Below are 15,229 nucleotides of genomic sequence, written 5' to 3'. Positions count from 1 at the left end.
CAGGTCATTTTCGATGACCACTTTATTTTGCAGATGAGGAAACTTGGGCCCTGAAAGACCTGCCTAGGGTCTGGCCAGCAGTATGAGACAGGTCTCCAGACTTAGTTTCTACCGCCCTCCAGAATCCTCTCTGTAAAATTAGAGAAACAGCACGTTGATTTCAAATGTGAAATGGCAGAGTTCTGTTTATTTCCCCAGACCCAAGAGAGCCGGAGCGGGCGGCTCTTCCAGGCCTTGGGAACCCCGGCCTGTCCCCAGGCCCGCGCGGCACCCGCCCTAGCCCAGGCCCGCCCAAAGTTCCCTCGGGTCCCGCGCCCCGCGCTCCCTCTCAAGCTAACCCCTGCCCGCAGGAAGCGGGGCTCGGAGGCTCCCTCGCAACAAAAGGCTAAATTCGGTTTCCCTGGTTCCGCATTTCCCCAGGGAGCTCTCCTCGTAAAACTATTCCCCGTGAAGGCGGCAGGGCAGAGGTCCAGGGCGGGCTTTGCTGGGAGCCTCGGGACCCCGGGTTGGGGGCCGTGGGGCGGCACCTGGCGAGCTGGCGGGTGGGCGGCGAGCCGAGGCTTCCCGGCCTGGCGGCAACTCGCCCCTCTGCCCTCAGCCCTCCCGGCTCCGCTCCCTTCCCCCACGCCGCCCTGCCCCTCCCCCACGCCCCTTTCTCTTTCTTTCTTTCTTTCCCAGTTCGCTTGCCCCCACCCCAGCGGCGCCCGCCGGGCTCCTCGCCCAATGGCCGCGGGGCCCGGGACCGCATCAGCTGATCGGCCCGGGCTCCTGGCCGCTGGGAGCCAATCAGGGCACCGGGGGCGGCCCCGGGCCGCGGATAAAGGGTGCGGGGCTGCTGGCGGCTCTGCAGAGTCGAGAGTGGGAGAAGAGCGGAGCGTGTGAGCAGTACTGCGGCCTCCTCTCCTCTCCTAACCTCGCTCTCGCGGCCTAGCTTTACCCGCCCGCCTGCTCGGCGACCAGGTAAGCCCCCGGACGGCCCGGTGTCACGCAAGCGAGGCGCGCCGCCCCTGCTACCCCGCGAGGCGCGCCGCCCAGCCTCTTTTTTCGGCTGCCTGCCCCTCCAGTCCCAGCCCTACGCTGCGGCCTCTCCGGCCCATGCCTGAGATCCGGCATGAGTGCTCCTCCCGCGTGCTTCCGCCGCTGGTGGCTTGGACCCGTCGGGGCTGGCGCTGGTGGGGCGCGCCCTTGGCCAGGCTCTGGGAAGGGCGGGGTGAGTTGTTTTGATCTTCTTTTCACTACTTGCGGCCGAAGCGCCGCCCCTGGAGGCCGTTGGGCCGGCCTGCGCCCTGGGGCTCGCAGTGGTTTGTTTGCGCTGTGGATGGAGTGGCGGTGCGGTCCCCTGTGGAGCGCAAACAAGGCGCTTGGTTGGCGCGGGCGCCTGGCTGCCTTCCTCGTGGTGGGGCCTTCGGAGCAATCGTCCTGGTTCTGGCGATGGTTGAGACGCCTCGATTGCGGCGTGTAACGGTGAGCGTTGTTTGGGCGGCCGGCTCCCGCCTCGGGGTCCCGGGGGCCTTCCAATGTGACCGAACAATGGAGAGCCCGGGCCTCGGCGCAGTCAGTGGAGAAGCCGGTCCGGGCGGAGGCAGCAGCAGCGCGCAGTCCCTACGGCCTGCGCCCCCACCCTCCCCCGGACCCCCCAACCCCTCGGCGGCAGGGTATGGCCACCTCCGTGAGGCCCTGAGATTCGGACGGGGGCCCGAGGGGCAGGGCGCCCACTTTAGGGACATTTCAGTGGGAAGGGGCTGCTCTCAAAGTGGATAATTATAACTCCCTCGGGGGCGGGAAGCGGGGATCCTCCCCCAGCCGCAAGTCCACGAAGAAAGCAACGAATGAAAATTATGAAGACAACGAGAAGTCAGACTCCTCCGGGTCGCGCTCCAGCTGCTTCGGCTTCGTCGCCTACTCTGTGAACTCCGGGGAGAGATCTCGAGTCAAGATTAAGACCTTAACCCACCAACCTGCCTGTTCGGACACCCCCCGGGCCGGCCGCTGTCTGTCCCCTTCTCCATCGCCCTCTCCCAGAAAGCTCCGGTGCTTGGACCAGCTAGAGTCTGAGAAAGAGGAGAGGCGCGAACGCCACTCCAAAAAGAGAAGGGTTAAAGAGGGCAACCCTAACGATACGCTTGACTTTCTGTGGCTGGGGTGAGTGAGGGGGCAGGGAGGACGACCCCGGAGTTGGTGGGAGCTGCAGAAACTGCTGAAAACTTCAGAATCCATTTCCCCCACGTAAACTTGGCACCGCAGCAGCAGCAGTTGATAGAGTGGCACTAGGCTGCTGGCATGCAACTCGGCTCACGGAAAAGAGCAAGAGATCCGAAACTGAGGCTTAGGACAAAGTGTGCATGATATTGGTGGTGTAACATGTTGGAGAGGACAGCCGAGAAATTGGGTTGTAGGTTTTTTTTTTTTGTTTTCCGACAGAGTCTCTATCTGTTACCCAGGTTGGAGTGCAGTGGTGCAATCTCCCGGCTCACTGCAACCTCTGCCTCTGGGGTTCAGGCGATTCTCCTGTGTCAGCCTCCCGAGTAGCTGGGATTACAGGCGTGCACAACCACGCCCGGCTAATTTTTGTATTTTTAGTAGAGACGGGAGTTTCATCGTGTTGGCCAGGCTGGTCTCGAACTTTGTACCTCAGGTGATCTGCCCGCTTCGGTGGGTTGTAGCTTTTAGCGGGAGCTAAAGGGTTCTGGGATGGAGGTGGGAAGTAGGATTTGGCCGGCTGAGTCTTCTAGAGGCAATATTGGGGTGTTGGTCTTCCCCAAGGGGAAGGGTGGTGAGGCTGAGGGAGAAGCAGTTATGTTTTCAGCTGGGCAAACATGGACGGTTGCCCGTAGAAACTTTGCCACTGTACTTCAGAACGTTGCCCTAGTCGTTGGAGGAGAACAATGTGTTCCCTTTCTAGCCACCCTGGTCCACGGAGGGAGGAGGGAGAGAGAGAATGTTTCCTCTTCGGCTGTTGTGGCTTGAGAGTTTCTCTTCTTTCGGAGGTTTTGTGGTAGTGGCTGGCAGTTATTAGTATGCCTCATGGCTTTTAAATTTCCAGATCTTTTTGATTTAGAAGTGGAAATTTCCTAATTACTTGACAAGTCTTGTAGAATTCCATAATGTTGTGATTCTTGCCCACTATCTTAAGTGAGACTTTGCATGAGACCTATGGAAATTATGGCAGCATTCCCCTTAGAATCTGGCTTGAATCAGCTTTTGTGTAGGAAACTGCTAGCCTTCTAAAAAAATATATTGTAACCTTGTTTCATCCTCAAATCTAAATGTGTAATGAGTTTTCTTTTGGTGGGGAGGGGCGGTGGGTTTGAGTTAAGACCACAGCTAGGATGAAAGACAAAGAGAAAAACAAACTGTGGAAGCCAAGCCTGTTCTGTGGCTGGATTTTACTTATATTGGAAGAAGTTCTATGTTTTGTAAATTTGTGTATTGGTTTTGATTTGTTTCCTCTGATAGTTTAGTATTTGGATAGTTTAGTGTTAACCTCAGCTACACTGAAGGAATAGACCTTAGTCCTCACAAGTATAAGTTCTAGCTTGGAAGCCTGGGTTCTGCAGTAGCTGTGGAACTTAAGCCTGTGAGCTCAGGGATGCAGAGGCATTGAGTTACTACCAAGGGCCTGATCTTTTCTTTAGCAGGCATCTGTGTTAATTGTTTCAAAAGGTGGTGATCAGTTTTACAGCCTATTATAAAGGAGATTTTTGCCTACTATAAAACTAATCCCCCTGAAAGAGTGAGTAAACATAACTTTTTGTGTGTTGACTTCCACAAGGGAAGGAGTTGGCACTTACACTCTGACTTTTGATTCAGTCGTCCTTCTTGAGCCATTTTTGCAGGGGATCAGTTTGGAGTGGGCGTTAACAATGTTATTCTTTTTTTCTTCTCCAGAACACCTTCCACCATGACCACCTCAGCAAGTTCCCACTTAAATAAAGGCATCAAGCAGGTGTACATGTCCCTGCCTCAGGGTGAGAAAGTCCAGGCCATGTATATCTGGATCGATGGTACTGGAGAAGGACTGCGCTGCAAGACCCGGACCCTGGACAGTGAGCCCAAGTGTGTGGAAGGTGAGACAGCAATGTGGAGTGGAGCACATGCTGGGTGGGATCTGCAGAGGGGTGGGCAGCAGCCTTTGACTCAGCCTCTGGATTAGGCCTCTTTCTTCTGTTTGTAAAGGTTTTCTAAGGCAGGGCTTTTCAGACTTTATTCAGTCAACATTAAGCTCCTACACTGCCTCAAAGCAGAGCGACGATGGAACCCTTTATTTCAATGGAATTGTGCACGTAGGCCAGTGTATTGAAGAAAAACTAAGTCTGGTTTATGGAGAGTTGGCATGGGGCTTAGAGGTTGCCGACCTGGACATCCCCACTTAGCTGGCTCTAAGGCACCCTCAGAAAACCACTGCTCTAACCTGAGAATGCCATCTAGTTTACAAACTCTTAGAAAACTGTGTTTAATACTCATATCACTGGCTTCTAGATGTGAAGCAAATGCTCTACAATGGTTTTTAAATAGGACTAATTTTTAGTTGATGCCACTTTTGGAAATTCTTAAACTAATTGCGTATCCCTCTAGGAGCTACAGTTAGATTATAGTTGTGACCTTCATTTTTCAGTCTAGAACAAGCCATAGTCTTCCCTCTTCTGGAAAGGGGCCAGAGGAAAGTATCATATCCTACCTAGTTTAGGGTAGTTTACTTTTCCTTTTTGAGTAAGTGAATGATCATAATACAAAGCCTATATTGTGTACTTGCTATGTGGCAGATGATAGTGCACAGACACTGAAGATACAAAGTGAGAGTCTCGTCTCTGCCTTCAGAGAACTCAGTCAGCTAGAGAGACCAAGCAGCCTTCAAAACAGTGGGAAAGGTGGATAGGTGATAAGGGAGCATCCTAGAGTAAGTCATCCTGCTAGTCGTCTGTTCCCTCATCTATAAAATAAGGACATAACTTGCCAGAATACACTGGGGGCATAAGAAGGATGCAACACATTACCTAATGGAAGAATCAGAATCCTTCACTATCTCAATATTTTAAGTGATTGATAGGATGGTAGTGATAACAGAATGCTTCAGCTTGTCTCCTGGAAGACATTTGGGAAGGGAGTATCTGATATATTTCTTTTAAGGAATTGGTACAATGGTCTTACTTGGAACTCAAATAGGAAGGGCTATAAGATCAGGTACAGGTGCCAGGGTATACATATTAATGATGGCATTTATACCTTAATGAATTCCTGGAAAAGAGATATTTAGAGATGGGAAGGTGAGTGAAGGGCTGGCTGTATTTGCATTGCTTGGAAAGCTCCTGTATGTTTTAAATGTAATTTTCCCTCTTTTTGCCCCAGAGTTGCCTGAGTGGAATTTCGATGGCTCTAGTACTTTACAGTCTGAGGGTTCCAACAGTGACATGTATCTCGTGCCTGCTGCCATGTTTCGGGACCCCTTCCGTAAGGACCCTAACAAGCTGGTGTTATGTGAAGTTTTCAAGTACAATCGAAGGCCTGCAGGTGTGTTATAGCACAGCTATGGATACCCCTCCTCAATCTGTGAATGCTGTGAAGGGGAGGGAGAAGACATTCTGAAATCAGCATTGGGAAGACTAGGCAATTTCAGCACTATTTTAAGAATCTGAGTGATTCTTTTCCCTGAACTTCTGCTTTGAGGAAGAGATAATATGGCCCATCTTTCTATGGTCTTCTCTGTTGGTTGCATAAAATAGCATTGGATTTGTCCAGATCTGTTTGCCGGTCTTGGAGTCCCCAGTAACAGCCTTCCTGCCTGGAATGTAGGCCAGGACAAATGTAAACCAATGGACAAATGTTTCTCAAAAATTATAGAATGGCTCCAAGTGCCTGAGAAATGAAGAATAAATCTGACAACCAGAAGCAGCTGTCTTGTGAATAGAGGGTTAAGTGCCTGGCATTTGGTGCTTGGGAGGTGGCCAGAATGCAGATAAGGTGAAAGTTGCCCTGTTCTAAATCCACTCCCATGTGACTTGGTTGTAACTGAGTTTAGTTAAAACTGAAGTCTTTCAGAGTCTTCCTACAGATGTACAATTAACAGCTTCTCTCATTTTTCTGACTCGGTGATCCCAAGAAGGCCTATACTGGGTCAGTTCATACCATAGTGCACACCTCAGTTGTATAGAATCCAAGGACTATTCTCCCATCAGCATCGGTATTCAGCATCTATGTCTTTAGATCCCTGATGGCGTATTATTGACTCTTTTTTCTAGAGACCAATTTGAGGCACACCTGTAAACGGATAATGGACATGGTGAGCAACCAGCACCCCTGGTTTGGCATGGAGCAGGAGTATACCCTCATGGGGACAGATGGGCACCCCTTTGGTTGGCCTTCCAACGGCTTCCCAGGGCCCCAGGGTAAGTCTCCTTGGGTTAGAGGTGAAATTCCCAGAAGTGTCTAACTGTGCAGGAATGCCCCTTCCCAGGGATGGGAATGACTTTCAGAATCAAGAAGCAAAATAATACAGTAAAGGCGAAACAGCCCTCACATCACCAAAGTCCAAAAATGGATATGAATATATAAAGTAAGGTTTTAGGGGGAACGTTTGGCCCCACTGAAGCTGTGGTGAAGAGGAACTCCCCTATTGCCCCTCCCCTGCCCCGCACCTGCAGATGAAGGCAAGGATAGTGATTCAAGAGGGCAAGGCTTAAGGGCCTTCTGATCTCTGACTTTGGGATTCTCTGGATTTCTTGACTCTTAGTGTTTTGTCCTGATGCTTCTGTAGGTCCATATTACTGTGGTGTGGGAGCAGACAGAGCCTATGGCAGGGACATCGTGGAGGCCCATTACCGGGCCTGCTTGTATGCTGGAGTCAAGATTGCGGGGACTAATGCCGAGGTCATGCCTGCCCAGGTAAGTATAGCTCCAATCCATCAATGAAGAAGGGTAGGTAGGTGTACATAGGACTTTTGCTAGTAAGGGCTGCTGATACACCACTCACTAACCCAAAACCTAAGAACGGGTTGGAGTACAGGTGAGAAGAGAACAGGTTTAGGAGATTCTGAGTTGGAGTGAGCAGTTAGCTTTGTTTTAATGGCCAAGCTTCTCGTTTCTAGTGGGAATTTCAGATTGGACCTTGTGAAGGAATCAGCATGGGAGATCATCTCTGGGTGGCCCGTTTCATCTTGCATCGTGTGTGTGAAGACTTTGGAGTGATAGCAACCTTTGATCCTAAGCCCATTCCTGGGAACTGGAATGGTGCAGGCTGCCATACCAACTTCAGCACCAAGGCCATGCGGGAGGAGAATGGTCTGAAGTGAGTACCTTCTGCTGGGGCCATCTTTAATCTCCTGTGGCAGAAAACTTGGGAGGAGACTTAGCAATCTCTCAGCAAAGTCTCCTTTGCAGGATGACTTGCAAATATTTGCCAAAGATGAGTAAACTTGACTTCTCAGTCTGGACGTACTTTAGGTGTTGACACTTGCCTTCACATTCTCTCATTTTGTTCCTATTTGAAAAATACCAAATAATACTTCTGATTCACAGTGATAAATATTTGTTATAATTTATATAATATATATTAGTCATATATCATTATATAAATATATATCGATATATATATTTGTGACATATGTCATGGTGACAGGGAAAAGTTGACAAATTCATGCATTTGAAAATCTTTTAGAACTAAATTAGTAACAATACAGGCATGTGGATAAGCTTAATGCTTATGAGGGGGAGAAAGTTTCAAATGATTAGTCTTTTCAACAAACAGTAACTTTGTACTGCTTGTCGGGCACTGTTCTCACCACTGAGACACACAGGTAAGAAGATGCAGCCACTGCCCTCATGAAGTATTTGTTCTACTGGTATCATATTTTGGTGCACTTCATTCTTGGCTCCATACCTGGAGACAAGGTTGGACTGCCATCTTTTCTGTTTACTCTAGGTACATCGAGGAGGCCATTGAGAAACTAAGCAAGCGGCACCAGTACCACATCCGTGCCTATGATCCCAAGGGAGGCCTGGACAATGCCCGACGTCTAACTGGATTCCATGAAACCTCCAACATCAACGACTTTTCTGCTGGTGTAGCCAATCGTAGCGCCAGCATACGCATTCCCCGGACTGTTGGCCAGGAGAAGAAGGGTTACTTTGAAGATCGTCGCCCCTCTGCCAACTGCGACCCCTTTTCGGTGACAGAAGCCCTCATCCGCACGTGTCTTCTCAATGAAACCGGCGATGAGCCCTTCCAGTACAAAAATTAAGTGGACTAGACCTCCAGCTGTTGAGCCCCTCCTAGTTCTTCATCCCACTCCAACTCTTCCCCCTCTCCCAGTTGTCCCGATTGTAACTCAAAGGGTGGAATATCAAGGTCGTTTTTTTCATTCCATGTGCCCAGTTAATCTTGCTTTCTTTGTTTGGCTGGGATAGAGGGGTCAAGTTATTAATTTCTTCACACCTACCCTCCTTTTTTTCCCTATCACTGAAGCTTTTTAGTGCATTAGTGGGGAGGAGGGTGGGGAGACATAACCACTGCTTCCATTTAATGGGGTGCACCTGTCCAATAGGCGTAGCTATCCGGACAGAGCACGTTTGCAGAAGGGGGTCTCTTCTTCCAGGTAGCTGAAAGGGGAAGACCTGACGTACTCTGGTTAGGTTAGGACTTGCCCTCGTGGTGGAAACTTTTCTTAAAAAGTTATAACCAACTTTTCTATTAAAAGTGGGAATTAGGAGAGAAGGTAGGGGTTGGGAATCAGAGAGAATGGCTTTGGTCTCTTGCTTGTGGGACTAGCCTGGCTTGGGACTAAATGCCCTGCTCTGAACACGAAGCTTAGTATAAACTGATGGATATCCCTACCTTGAAAGAAGAAAAGGTTCTTACTGCTTGGTCCTTGATTTATCACACAAAGCAGAATAGTATTTTTATATTTAAATGTAAAGACAAAAAACTATATGTATGGTTTTGTGGATTATGTGTGTTTTGCTAAAGGAAAAAACCATCCAGGTCACGGGGCACCAAATTTGAGACAAATAGTCGGATTAGAAATAAAGCATCTCATTTTGAGTAGAGAGCAAGGGAAGTGGTTCTTAGATGGTGATCTGGGATTAGGCCCTCAAGACCCTTTTGGGTTTCTGCCCTGCCCACCCTCTGGAGAAGGTGGGCACTGGATTAGTTAACAGACAACACGTTACTAGCAGTCACTTGATCTCCGTGGCTTTGGTTTAAAAGACACACTTGTCCACATAGGTTTAGAGATAAGAGTTGGCTGGTCAACTTGAGCATGTTACTGACAGAGGGGGTATTGGGGTTATTTTCTGGTAGGAATAGCATGTCACTAAAGCAGGCCTTTTGATATTAAATTTTTTAAAAAGCAAAATTATAGAAGTTTAGATTTTAATCAAATTTGTAGGGTTTCTAGGTAATTTTTACAGAATTGCTTGTTTGCTTCAACTGTCTCCTACCTCTGCTCTTGGAGGAGATGGGGACAGGGCTGGAGTCAAAACACTTGTAATTTTGTATCTTGATGTCTTTGTTAAGACTGCTGAAGAATTATTTTTTTTCTTTTATAATAAGGAATAAACCCCACCTTTATTCCTTCATTTCATCTACCATTTTCTGGTTCTTGTGTTGGCTGTGGCAGGCCAGCTGTGGTTTTCTTTTGCCATGACAACTTCTAATTGCCATGTACAGTATGTTCAAAGTCAAATAACTCCTCATTGTAAACAAACTGTGTAACTGCCCAAAGCAGCACTTATAAATCAGCCTAACATAAGATCTCTCTGATGTGTTTGTGATTCTTTCAAATCCCTATGTGCCATTATATTTCTTTATTTCCTAAAACAGGCAAAATAAGCTCAAGTTTATGTACTCTGAGTTTTTAAAACACTGGAGTGATGTTGCTGACCAGCCGTTTCCTGTACCTCTCTAAGTTGGGTATTTGGGACTTAAGGGATTAAGTTTTTCACCTAGACTTAGTTACACACAATCTTGGCATTTCCTAGCCTAGAGGTTTGTAGCAGGGTACAAGCCCCACTCCTCCCCCTTCCTTTGCTCCCCTGAGTTTGGTTTTGGCTTACCATAACATTGTTTTGACCATTCCTAGCCTAATACAATAGCCTAACATAATGTAAGATTAACTGGCTTTACGATTTCTATTCTCTGCTCTCAGTGATAAGAAACAAATATTAGCTACCCTGCTACCCTGGTTGAAGCCTTCCAAGGCTGGCTATGCCCTAGGCATGGGCTCATCCTTGGGTGTATCTTGCCTTGCAGGAAGACCAGTGGACCGATTGTGATTCTCAAAAGCTCTGTGTTGTCACCTGTGCCCTTGCCCCTTGCTCTTATCTTGGTCCGTGTATCTGGGAGTTCTTCCACCTTATCTTGGCCAATTCCTACCTTCGTTCATTCCTCATGAGGTTGGGTAAAAGCTCCCTCCGGCTCCCATGATGCTGTGCATATACCTAGCAAAAAGCAATTATTGGACACATTGGAGTGCAATATTATTAATAGCATTAATACTACTAATAATGTGGGCAATAGTGATTGTTTTTAAAAGGCAGTATACTCTTACCAGTGCGAGGTAGCTGGGGCCTGTGATAGTTTTTAGAGATAAGTTCTTCAGGCAACTGTGTATTTTACACTAGTCAAGTAATCCTAGATATCCGTGGTTTTTCTTAAGAAAGTTGGCTCGTAATATGATTTAATATTCAAAGTAGAGTCATCTACCTATTAGCTTGCTGGCGTGGTCCTAGTTTATGCCTGTTTCAGCATGATTGTTGAGTACCCTGTTTCATCCTTAGCATTTTCTTGATTTTGTTGTTAAATGATGTATACCCTTATTTCCATTGAATCTGTGCTTCCACCCCCCCAACTGAAGTTGTCTTCCCTTTGCTTGGCCACCCTTACAGCCTCTTGGATGGTGTATCCTACAGTGTAAGCACTAAACTGAAGAGGCAGTGACCTGAGCACTTTGGATTTTGTTCATTGTAATCAATTCCATGACAAAATGATTGCATGAGAAGGAATTTTAAATTCATAGGATCAGAATTTAGGTGAAAACAACCAGCATATTTGTTTCTTCACCCTCTCACCTAGAATTAGCTTTGACCTACAGGTCACAGTGCAATCCCCTTGTATTTCTAAGGTGTTTTTTATAGTTCATTTGCAGACAATGGGTTATGTGATAACTTTTATCAGTGATAGATTAAACAGAATAATGACCAAGCTTTCAACCTTAAGGAGTCAGGCCAGTATTTACAAAAGGAGGTCTCCATGAACTCCTTAAATATGAGTTCCCCTAATATCATCTTGCCAGGTACTAAATAACAACTGATAGCACAAGCTATAGGGAATTTGAAAGAATTCCATGGATGGGTGTTGTCTAGGGCCTTTTGTTGTTTTTGAGACGGGGTCTGACTCTCACCCAGGCTGGAGTATAGTGTGGCGCAATCTTGGCTCACTGCAACTTCTGCCTCCCAGATTCAAGCGATTCTCCTGCCTCAGCCTCCCAAGTAGCTGAGACTACAGGTGTGCACCACCATGCTCAGCTAATTTTTGTATTTTTAGTACAGATGGGGTTTCACCATGTTGGCCAGGCTGGTCTTGAACTCCTGATCTCCCAAAGTGAGGTCTTGAACTGGTCTTGAACTCCTCCACCTCCCAAAGTGCTGGGATTACAGGCGTGAGCCACTGCACCCGGCCTAGGGCCATGTAAAAAGCCAGATCTGTGCTGCTGTCTGTGTAGAAGGGTAGACAAGTGGATGAGAAGTTCCTGAACTATTCTTGGCCCTTTTACCACTAAGTGAAAGTAACTTGCTGCCCCAAAGAAAGATGTCTCATCATTCGACAGGACTTTCTAGTTGAACTTCATGAAAGCAAGAGATCCTGTTTTTCTTGCTCACCACTGTATCTTGAGACCTGTTGTAGTGCCTGCAATACTTATTTAATAAGTTATTTTTAAGTATCAGTTTTGTGAGCTTTAACTCTATGAGGTCTTTGTTGTTTGACTGTATTTTAACTCTGGCCATGACAGCAAGACAAAGTTCCATTTTTATTGAGCTTAAAAAGAATCAAGGCCAGGTGAAGTGGCTTACGCCTGTGATCCCAACACTTTGTGAGGCTGCAGCAGGAGGATCTCTTGAGCCCAGGAGTTTGAGACCGTTCTAGGCAATGTAGTGAGGTCCAGACTCCACAAAATAATTTTTTTTTAAATTGCACGCCTGTAGTCTCAGCTATCAGGAGGCTGAGATGGGAGGATGACTTGAGCCCAGGAAATTGAAGCTGCAGTGAATTGTGATTGCACCACTGCACTCCAGCCTGGGTGACAGATCAAGACCTTGCCTAAACAAAACAAAACAAACAAAACCCCAAAAAACAAATTGAAAATGTTGATTCTTTTTACTACAAACATTATGGCAGCACTAAAAACTTCGTGGGAGTGTACTGTGGAAAATAGTGTACTTAATTAATTCTCATTGTAATCAGGCTACCAAGAGCCTTGTGTTGCTTTAAGAGTTATAACTGCCAGGCACAGTGGCTCATGCCTATAATCCCAGCACCTTGAGAGGCCGAGGCAGGTGGATCACCTGAGATCGGGAGTTTGAGACCAGCCGGGCCAATATGGTGAAACAAGCTGTGTCTCTACTAAATACAAAAAATTAGCCGGGCGTGGTGGCACATGCCTGTAATCCCAGCTGCTTGGGAGACTGAGACAGGAGAATTGCTTGAACCTGGAAGGCGGAGGTTGCAGTGAGCTGAGATTGCAACATTGTACTCCAGCCTGGGCAACAAGAGGGAAACTCCATCTCAAAAAAAAAAAAAAAGTTGTAACTGAGGCTGGGCATGGTGGCTCATACCTGTAATCCCAGCACTTTGAAAAGCCGAGGCAGGTAGATCACTTGAGCTCAGAAGTTCGAGACTAGCCTGGGCAACATGACAAAACCCCATCTCTACAAAAAATACGAAAAATTAGCTGGGCGTGGTGGCATGCACCTGTAGTCCTAGCTACCTGGGAGGCTGAGGTGGGAAGATTACTTGAAGCTGCAGTGAGCCATGGTTGTGCCACTGCCCTCCAGTCTGGGCAACAAAGTGAGACCCTGTCTCAAAAAAACAAAAAAAAATTATAACTGATGTAAACTGGCAGTTTAGGCTGGGTGTGGTGGCTCAAGCCTGTAATCCTAGCACTTTGGGAGGCCAAGGCAGGTGGATCACCTGAGTTCAGGAGTTCGAGACCAGCGTGGCCAACATGGTGAAACCTTGTCTCTATTAAAAATACCAAAATTAGCAAGATGTGGTGGTGGGTGCCTATAATTCCAGCTACTCAGGAGGCTGAGGCAGGAGGATCGCTGGAGCCAGGGAGGCAGAGGTTACAGTAAGCAAAGATCACTCCACTTCACTCCAGCCTGGGCAAAAGAGTGAGACATATCAAAAAATAAACAAATAAATAAATAAATAAGTGGCAGTTCATCATTTAACTCCAAAGACTTTGCGTACATTTCTACTGAAAACAATCTGAGCTGATTAGAACCCTGCCATTTTATAGCCTTTAGCTCGATCTCCGACCGTTCATTTAAAAAAATTCTACTTCAGGCCGGGCATGGTGGCTCAAGCCTGTAATCCCATCACTGTAGGAGGCCAAAGTGGGCAGATCACTTAAGGTCAGGAGTTTGAGACCAGCCTGGCCACCATGGTGAAACCCCATCTCTACTAAAAATACAAAAATTAGCCGGGCTTGGTGGTGAGCACCTGTAATCCCACCCTGCCGAGTGGCAGGCTGAGGCAGGAGAATCGCTTGAGCCCAAGAGCCGGAGGTTGCAGTGAGCCAAGCTTGCACCATTGCACTCCAGCCTAGGCAACAGAGTGTGACTCCATCTCAAGAAAAAAAAAATTCTATTTCATTTTACAATATGCAGATATATGTCCATACACATGCATAATATAAATGTATACCATATTTGTGAGAATATGCATATATGTACACATTAGATACACAATACAAGCACAATACATATGTCTTTTGCCCAAGATACAGCATTTTGTAAAGGAGACAGGAATTTAGTAATATATGTTCCAGAAACAGTACACAAGAGAATTCGCCGAGATGAGAAAGTTGTCACTAGGAATGGGGAGTGGTAAGATGTAGAAGGTATAATTGTTCTTAAAGTTCTACTGCCAACTCTTTCCAATTAATTACCCACTCTGCCATGCTTTATGGACAGGAGGTTGTCGGACACTGTCAATTAATAAATATTTGAGCATGATACACTGCTTGGAGCTCCTCTAATATAGGAGAGTGATATCCTAGTGCATGTTACAGAGGGAGTGTCCACACAGTTCCTATTGTCATTTGATGAGTTACTTTTCAGGGGCCTTGTACCTGAGCAAGTTGTCCTCTTTTTGATGGATTTCAGATTGAGTTACCTGCATTGTCTTGAGATTGCAGCGTGTTTCCTCCACTGTACGGCGTAGTCAGCAGATCTATTAGTTAAACTCCAGTGGGCCCTCAGTCACTAAATCTATCCTCTGTGTTGAAGGCTTTCTGCATTTGCCTTTCAATAAAGGTTTAGAATAACTCCTTCTCTGTGACTCTGTTTTACTCCTCTATTGACAGTAAATTGAATCAGCATTTAAGATGTGAAAAAATTAATAATCAAATGAAATGGGGGTCAAATAGGCACTAGTTTGGTGTGTTGGGGAAAGCATATGAATGAGGGGTGGTCAAGTGAATGGTCAAGTCTCCTTTATGACCCTCCTTTTATAGCTAAAGGTTGTCACTGGCAGCACCAAAAGGAAGGGGACTCCTGGGCCCATTGCTATGTATCCCAGTTTATTCTCAAATGATTTTGTGAGCTGTTTTGGTAACTGTTTAAATAAGGCTACAGAATGAAATGTAGTATCACATTGTGGGAGGAGAGGGAAAAGGATTCCTTTTTTCGTTTTTTGGAAGAAGTGAACACTTGCCTGGACTCTGGGAAGGAACCTGTGATCTAATTAGCTAAATTTAGAGAGACAGTACAGTAAGAGAATGCACTTTTCCAGAGCTTCCTTTGCAAGAGAGGATCCATCTCTTCAAACAATCTACCACCAGGCTCATTCCTAGGTGGGCCTAAGATCCAGAAACTACCAATCTATTAACATTTTTATATAAATACTGCTATGGCATAGCACTTAGCCAAGGAAGCCTTCAATAAATGTTTGTTGTTTACATTATCAGAGAAAGGTCACTACTATGTCACTGGCTAAAGAAAGTAGGTAGAAGGC

At 46.7% G+C, this 15,229-nt stretch overlaps 1 protein-coding gene across 3 annotated transcripts, besides 3 other annotated features; it reads left to right on the top strand.

Moving 5' to 3' along the window:
• Positions 434-1,113: a silencer, noted in NCBI's record as "silent region_1618". NCBI's record gives its function as "represses an Ori minimal core promoter by ATAC-STARR-seq in GM12878 lymphoblastoid cells {active_cell/tissue: GM12878}" and the evidence as "EXISTENCE:reporter gene assay evidence [ECO:0000049][PMID:35858748]".
• GLUL (glutamate-ammonia ligase) lies at positions 849-14,541 on the top strand. 3 transcript variants are annotated; one of them, NM_002065.7, is made up of 8 exons: positions 849-960; positions 1,787-2,142; positions 3,889-4,067; positions 5,347-5,508; positions 6,237-6,383; positions 6,752-6,879; positions 7,083-7,282; positions 7,916-14,541. In NM_002065.7, exons 3-8 carry the CDS (start codon positions 3,902-3,904, stop codon positions 8,232-8,234), a joined length of 1,122 nt encoding a protein of 373 aa, NP_002056.2. In that variant the 5' UTR covers positions 849-960; positions 1,787-2,142; positions 3,889-3,901; the 3' UTR covers positions 8,235-14,541. The 3 variants fall into 3 exon arrangements, with proteins under 3 accessions (NP_002056.2, NP_001028216.1, NP_001028228.1); NM_001033044.4 differs by lacking the exon at positions 1,787-2,142; NM_001033056.4 differs by lacking the exons at positions 849-960; positions 1,787-2,142 and adding an exon at positions 1,298-1,464.
• Positions 5,776-6,975: an enhancer, noted in NCBI's record as "CDK7 strongly-dependent group 2 enhancer chr1:182354799-182355998 (GRCh37/hg19 assembly coordinates)". NCBI's record gives its function as "activates an origin of replication core promoter dependent on BRD2, BRD4, P300/CBP, MED14 and CDK7 cofactors, with strong dependence on CDK7, by STARR-seq in HCT116 cells {active_cell/tissue: HCT116}" and the evidence as "EXISTENCE:reporter gene assay evidence [ECO:0000049][PMID:35650434]".
• Positions 11,171-11,465: a silencer, noted in NCBI's record as "tiled region #13543; HepG2 Repressive non-DNase unmatched - State 18:Pol2, and K562 Repressive DNase matched - State 14:Gen5'". NCBI's record gives its function as "represses a minimal TATA promoter and a strong SV40 promoter by Sharpr-MPRA in HepG2 and K562 cells {active_cell/tissue: HepG2 | K562}" and the evidence as "EXISTENCE:reporter gene assay evidence [ECO:0000049][PMID:27701403]".

The sequence above is a fragment of the Homo sapiens genome, chromosome 1 (genome assembly GCF_000001405.40).
Source record: "Homo sapiens chromosome 1, GRCh38.p14 Primary Assembly".
NCBI classification, from domain to species: Eukaryota; Metazoa; Chordata; class Mammalia; order Primates; family Hominidae; genus Homo; species Homo sapiens.
Note: the sequence above shows the minus strand (reverse complement) of the source record. Positions and strands in the feature narration are given on the sequence as shown.